The sequence below is a fragment of the Homo sapiens genome, chromosome 9, assembly GCF_000001405.40.
Source record: "Homo sapiens chromosome 9, GRCh38.p14 Primary Assembly".
Classification (NCBI taxonomy): Eukaryota; Metazoa; Chordata; class Mammalia; order Primates; family Hominidae; genus Homo; species Homo sapiens.
Window position 1 is genome coordinate 62,940,720 of NC_000009.12, and position 7,379 is coordinate 62,948,098.

Genomic DNA, 7,379 nt, shown 5'->3' on the forward strand with positions numbered 1-7,379 from the left:
GTGGTAGGAGAGCTATTGTGGGCTTTCCTACCTCAGGGCTAGAGGAGGGCTTGGAGACCGGCAAAGGAAAAGATGGACCATTTCAAGTCTCAGAGCAAAAATACTAAGAGACAAAGATGGGATGGAAAATAAAAGTGACGTGGTAATCGATAGAGGAAATTTACACAAATCTAAAAATTCTGAAAAAGAAAAAGAAGCAGAGACAATAAATATGCATCCAAAGAGAAGAAAACTCTGAGCAAATTAAAAATGTGAGCTGCACATTCCCGTTACTGGGTATATACCCAAGGGATTATAAATCATTCTACTCTAAAGACACATACACATGTATGTTTATTGCAACACTATTTACAATAGCAAAGACTTGGAACCAATCCAAATGCCCATCAATGATAGACTGGATAAAGAAAATGTGGGACATATACACCATGGAATACTATGTAGCCATAAAAGAGAATGAGTTCATGTTCTTTGCAGGGACATGGATGAATCTGGAAGTCATCATTCTCAGCAAACTCACACAGGAACACAAAATCAAACACTGCATGTTCTCACTCCTAAGTGGGAGCTGAACAATGAGAACACATGGACACAGGGAGGGGAATATCACACACTGGGGCCTGTTACGGGGTTGGGGGGCAAGGGGAGGGGGTATTAGGAGAAATACCTAATGCCTGTGGGGCTTAAAACCTAGATGATGGGGCCGGGCGCGGTGGCTCACTTCTGTAATCCCAGCACTTTGGGAGGCCGAGGCAGGCGGATCACGAGGTCAGGAGATTGAGACCATCCTGGCTAACATGGTGAAACCCCGTCTCTACTAAAAATACAAAAAATTAGTCGGGCGTAGTGGCGAGAGCCTGTAGTCCCACCTACTCTGGCGGCAGAAGCAGGAGAACGGTGTGAACCTGGGAGGCGGAGCTTGCAGTGAGCCAAGATCGCGCCACTGCACCCCAGGCTGGATGACAGTGTGAGACTATGTCTCAAAAAAAAAAAAAAATCTAGATGACGGGTTGATAGGTGCAGGAAACCACCATGGAACATGTATACCTATGTAACAAACCTGCACTTTCTACACTTGTATGCCAGAACTTAAAGTAAAAAAAAAAAAAAAAAAAAAAGGCCAGGCGCGGTGGCTCACGCCTGTAATCCCAGCACTTTGGGAGGCCGAGGCAGGAGATGGAGACCATCCTGGCTAACACGGTGAAACCCGGTCTCTACTAAAAACACAAAAAATTAGCCGGGCGTGGTGGCGGGCGCCTGTAGTCCCAGCTACTCTGGAGCTTGAGGCAGGAGAATGGCGTGAACCCGGGAGGCGGAGCTTGCAGTGAGCCGAGATCGCGCCACTGCACCCCAGCCTGGGTGACAGAGCGAGACTCCGTCTCAAAATAAATAAATAAATAAATAACTAAAGTGAGCTGCAGTTTGAAAGGGCTCACCAATTTAGACTGATGGTATTTGTGTTGAGTTTCTTATATGTTTTGGATATTGACCCTTTATTAGCTGTATAGTTTGCAAATATTTTTTCCCATTCTGTGGGCTGTCCCTTCACTTTAAAGGTTTGCTGTGAAGAGGCTTTTTAGTTTGATGCCATTTTATTTCTCTCTTTTTGCTTTTTGCTTCTATTACCTGTGCTTTTTGCTTTTTGCTTTTGTTGCCTGTGCTTTTGGGGTCATATCCAAATAATCATTGCCCCAGCCAATGTTGTGGGGATTTTTCTCTGTTTTCTTTTAGTAGTTTCACAGTTTCAGATACTATGTTTAGATTTTTAATCCATTTGGGTTGATTTTTGTATGTGGTATAACATATGGATCTGATTTCATTCTCCTTCATGTGGATAGCTAGTTTTCCCCACACAATTTATTGAAGATACTGTCCTTTCCCCGTTGTGTGTTCTTGGCACCTTGGTCAAAAATCAATTGATCATACATGCATGGGTTGATTTCTAGGCTTTCTATCCTGTTTCATCAGTCAGTTTATTTTTATGCCAGTGCCATGCTATTTTCATTACAATAACTTCATAAGATTTTTGAAATTAGGGAGTGTAATGGCACCAGCTTTTTTCCTTTTGCCCAAGATCGTTTTGACTCTTTAGGGTCTTTTGTAATTCCACACAAATTTAAGGATATTTTTTATTGCTGTGAAAAATGACATTGCAATTTTGAGAGAGATTACATTGACACTGTAGATCATTTTGGGTTGTATGGACATTTTTGAAAGAGGGGTGTTGAGGTTCCATAATATTGTAGTATTGCCATTTATTTATCCCTTTATGTCATTTAATAATTGCTTTACGTATTTAGGTACTCTGATGTTGGGTGCATATATAATTACAATTGTTATGTCCTCTTGGTGAATTGACCCCTTTCTCATTATTTAGTGACCTTCTTTATCTCTTTTTACAGTTTTTGATTTAAAGACGATTTTGATTGATATAAATATAGATTCTCTTGGTCTCTTTTGATGTCTATTTGCATGGAGTATCTTTTTCCATACCTTCAGTTTCAGTCTGTATGTGTCCTCACTAGTAGAGTGAGTCTCTTGTAGACAGCATATGGTTCTTTAAAAAAAAAAAAAATTATTCAGCTGTCCTAAGTCTCTTGGTTGGAGAATTTAATCTGTTTACATTCAAAGTAATTACTGATAGGTAAGCACTTGCTACTGCTGTTTTGTCATTCATTTTCTGAATTTTTTGTAAGTCCCTGTTTCTTTATTTCTCTCTTGTTGTTTTCTTTTTGCTTTGTGGTTACCATGAGGCTTACGTAAAATGTGTGAGCTTTATAACAAGCTACATTAAGCTGATAATAATTGAACTTTAATCTCATACTTTCACTCCCCCCTTTTATAATTTTGATGTAAATTTTTTATTTGTTTTTGTAATTTGTATTCCTTAACAATTGCAGCTACAATTGCTTTTAATAGTTTTTCCTTTTAATCATCACAGTAAGGATACGATTGCTTTATGTATCACCCATACAGTGTTAGAGAATGAGTTTGATTATGTATTACTTAATACCATTGAGTTACTGAGATTTTTACATGCATTTTTTTGTTGTTGTTAAGTAGAAACCTTCCATTTCAGCTTAAAGAACTGCCTTTAGCCATTCCTGTAAAGCAGGGATAATGTAATAGACTCCCTTAGGATTTGTTTGTCTGGGGAAGTTGGAATTCTCTCTTATTTCTTTTTTTAATCTTTTTTTTTTTTTTTTTTGAGATGGAGTCTTGCTCTGTCGCCAGACTGGAGTGCAGTGGTGCAATCTTGGCTTACTGCAACCTCTCCTTCCCAAGTTCAAGTGATTCTCCTGCCTCAGGCTCCCGAGTAGCTGGGAATACAGGTGCACGCCACCACACCCAGCTAATTTTTGTATTTTTAGTAGAAACGGGGTTTCACTGTGTTGGCCAGAATGGTCTCGATCTCCTGTCCTCGTGATCTGCCCACCTCGGCCCCCTCAAAGTGCTGGGATTACAGGCATGAGCCACCCTGCCCAGCCAATTCTCTCTTATTTTTTAAGGACAACTTTGCCAAGTAAAAAATTCCTGGTTGGCAGTTCTTTTTCTTCTGCACTTTAAATATATCACCCCAATCTCTCTTGGCCTGCAGAGTTTCTGCTAAGAAGTCAACTGAAAGTCATATTGTGGTTCCCTTGAATGTGATATGTTTCTTATCTCTTGCTGCTTTCAGTTTTGTTTCTTTGTCTTTGATTTTTGATAAATTGATTATGTTTTATCTTGGTAAATTCCTTTTTGAGTGGAATTTGATTGGAGACTTTTGAGCTTCCTGTATTTAGATGTTGTCATCTTTCCCCAGATTGGGGAAATGTTCAGCCATTTTCTTAAATATCCTTTTTGGGCCTTCTTCTCTATCTTCTTCTGAATCTCTGATTATGTGAATATTAGTTTGCCTGATGGTATCTCATAATTCCTGCAGGCCTTCTTTATTCTTTTTCTTTTTGCTCTTCAGACTGGATAATTTCAAGATACCTATCTTTGAATTCAGTGATCCTTTCTTTTGCTTGATCAAGTCTGCTGTCAAAGCTTTCCATTGACATTTTCAGTTAAATTATTGTATTCTTTATGTCTCAGATTTCTATTTGGTTTCTATTTATCATCTCTAGTTCTTTGTCAATTTCTCATTTTGTTCATGAATTGGTTTCAAACTTAATTTAATTTAATTGGAGTTCCCTGAACTTCTTTAAGGGGGTTATCCTGAACTCTTTGTCAGTCATTTTATAGATCACCTTATATTCCAGATCTATTATCTGATCTTTATTATTTTCTTTTAGTGGTATCATATTTCCCTGACTTTTCATAATACTTCTGTCTTGCATTGATGCTTCTGTGTTTGAGGAGACGGCCACCTCTTCCAGGCCTTGACAGATCTTTACTACTTCGTAGGAAGGGATTCTGGATGTGTTAGCTGGCAATGACCCTGGACGGGCAGAGCTTGGTGTCAGGTTCTCTAGTTGGGCTGTGTCACTTCCTGAGCCCTAAGGTTGAATGGTACTGCTAACTGGACTCTGCAGTTCACTCTGATCAGGCAGGATCGTAGGCTGTCTCCGCTGGTTGGATGGTATTGTTGTTTAGAATCTGTAGTTGAACAGGCCTCTGGGCTGAGCTCTATGGTCACCTAAAGACTCTGGTGTTGTTGCTCAGCTACACAGGGCTGATTAGGGCTAGAAGCCATTATGCCCCACACATATGTGCGGACTTGATCTTGTCTCCTGGCCTAAGGTAGGCTTAAACAAAGCTTAGTGGAGTTCCTGGTCAGCTGCTGGTGCTGGGTGGGGACCAGATGTACCCTCTGCAGAGAAGTGCTGACTTTCACTTGCCTTCTAGCCTGGGCAATGCTGTAGAAAGCACCAGGTCTATGTAGGAAAGCTGGCGAGGGATGCTAGCTGGGTACACCTGTGAGCTGTACTTCCTGCGGTACAATGCTGTTGGCTAATCTCTCTCATATGATGCCTCCATTAGCCAGAATGCAGACTAACTACACGCTAGTTTCTGTGAGATCTACTCCCATTCTTTGTTTCTAGCTGACTCCAGGTGGTCTATCCCCGATGGCACTCCTAATGTTTCCTGTGGTATAAGACAAGGGTGAGCCTCCTGTGAAGGGTCCTAGAATGGTGGGCAAGCTGAATGTCCACCTCCAACTTTCTTTTCCCACTGTAGAAATTGTGGGTCTGGTGAAATCCTCTGTGTGTCGTGCTATGCCAGCTTGGTGGAGGGGTGGCATGCTCAAAATGAACTGTTCCTCTTACTCTTCAAAGCACAGCTTTTCTTAGTTCTGCAGTACAATTGGGTGTCTCAGTCTCACTCCTGAGTTCTGGGATATTCAGAAAGGTATTCTTGCCTGTGGATAGTTGCTAGTTGGATTTCCGTGTGGGGGTGTGGAGCTGGAGAAATTCTATTCTGCCACCTTGTGAAGTCATTCTCTGGAATAATTTTAGATTTACATAGAGTTGCAAAGATGGTAAAGACAGTTTCTATACACTCTTCACTTAGTTTCTTCTGATGTTAACCTCTTACGTTACCATGGCACATTTATTAAAAATAAGAAATTAACATTGTACAATACTATTACCTAAATGACAGGCTATATTTAACCAGTTTTTCATTCTTGAGAGGAAGTCTTACTCTAATGCCTAGGCTGGAGTGCAGTGGTGCGATCTTGGCTCACTGTAACCTCAACCTCCTGGTTTCAAGTGATTTTCATTCCTCAGCCACCCGAGCAGCTGGGATGACAGGTGCCCAACACCACATCCGGCTAATTTTTGCATTTTTATTAGAGATGGGATTTCACCATGCTGGCCAGGCTGGTCTCAGACTCCTGACCTCAGGTGATCCACCTGCCTTGGCCTCCCAAAGTGCTGGGATTACAGGAGTGAGCCACCGTGCCCGGCCCACATTTCACCAGTTTGTTTTTGTTTTTGTTTTTAACTAATTTCTTCTCTTTGTTCCCAGGTACCATCAAGGATCTCATATTGTGTTTAGTCTTCATGTCTCCTTAGTCGACTTCAATTAGGGACAATCTCTCTGTCTTTCCTAGCTTTGACACTTTGAAGACCACTGACCAGATATTTTTTAGAATGTGCATCAAATGATTTGGGTTCATCTGATGTTTTCTCTTGATTAAAGTGGGGTTGTAAATTTTGAGGAAGAATTTCACATAGTTGAAGTGACCTTCCCATTGTGTCACGGTGGTGTGAGGTAGCCATATGACTTTTCATTGTTGATGTTAACCTTGATTACTTGGCTATGTTGGTGACTTGATGGTTCCCTCCACTACAAAATTACAGTTTTTACTTTTCCATATTCCATTTCTTAAAAGTCAGTCATTAAGACCAACCTGCAAGACTGGGCACAGTGGCTCATGTCTGTAATTCCAGGACTTTGAGAGAACAAGGTGGGCAGATTGCTTGAGCCCAGAAGTTCAAAACCAGCCTGGACAACATGGTGAAACCCCATCTCTACAAAGGTACAAAAATTAGCCAGGTGTGGTGGAGTGCACCTGTAGTCTCAGCAATGTGGGAGGCTGAGGTGGGAGGATCACTTGAGTCTGGGATGTTGGGGTTGCAGTGAGCTGTGATTGTGCCAATGCACTTCGGCCTGGATGACAGAGGAAGACCTTATCTCAAAAACAAAAACCCAAACCACAAAAACAAGACTAACTTGCAAGCCACATGAGGGGAATTCAACTTCACCTTAATTCAAAATCACCAGAGTAATTAACAAATATTTAAAGAATTTTTCAATGGTTATAGAATTCTGGGTTGATAGGTTTTTAAGAATTCTTTTATGACTTCAAAAGTGTCACTTCGTTTCTTGCTTGCATGGTTTCTGATATGAAGTCAGCTCCCATTCTTAACCTTGTTTCTTGTTTGATAATGTCTTTTTGCCTCTAGCTTCCTCAAGATGTTTCTCTTTTGAGAAAAATGAGAGATTTTCAGTTTTTGTGTTGATTTCTCTTTGTCTCTGGTTTTCAGCTATTTGAACACATTCCATATCACTTTAAGATTTCTTCATCGGTGGTCACTGGACACATGTGTCACAATTAACAAAGGGGAACACATTCTCCAAATGTGTTCTGTTTCCCCAGGAAGACAGCTGGAAATGCAACAAAATGCCTCTCCCTCTCCTTTAGCAAAACACGAGTCAGGGCAATGCAAGATTTGATTGGGACTGCTTTACTTCATTAACTATTACAGTGCGCTGTTTTTCTTTCTAGTAACAACCCAGTAATAGTTATTAAATTATTTGGAGCTAAATAAGTGTAATGGTAATTTTCATTTAAAGTTTGCTATATGGTAGCTTAGAGCATCTTACCTGTACACAGTTCCAAACGCAGAAAACCTAAATGAAATTAACATATATGTATCATTACA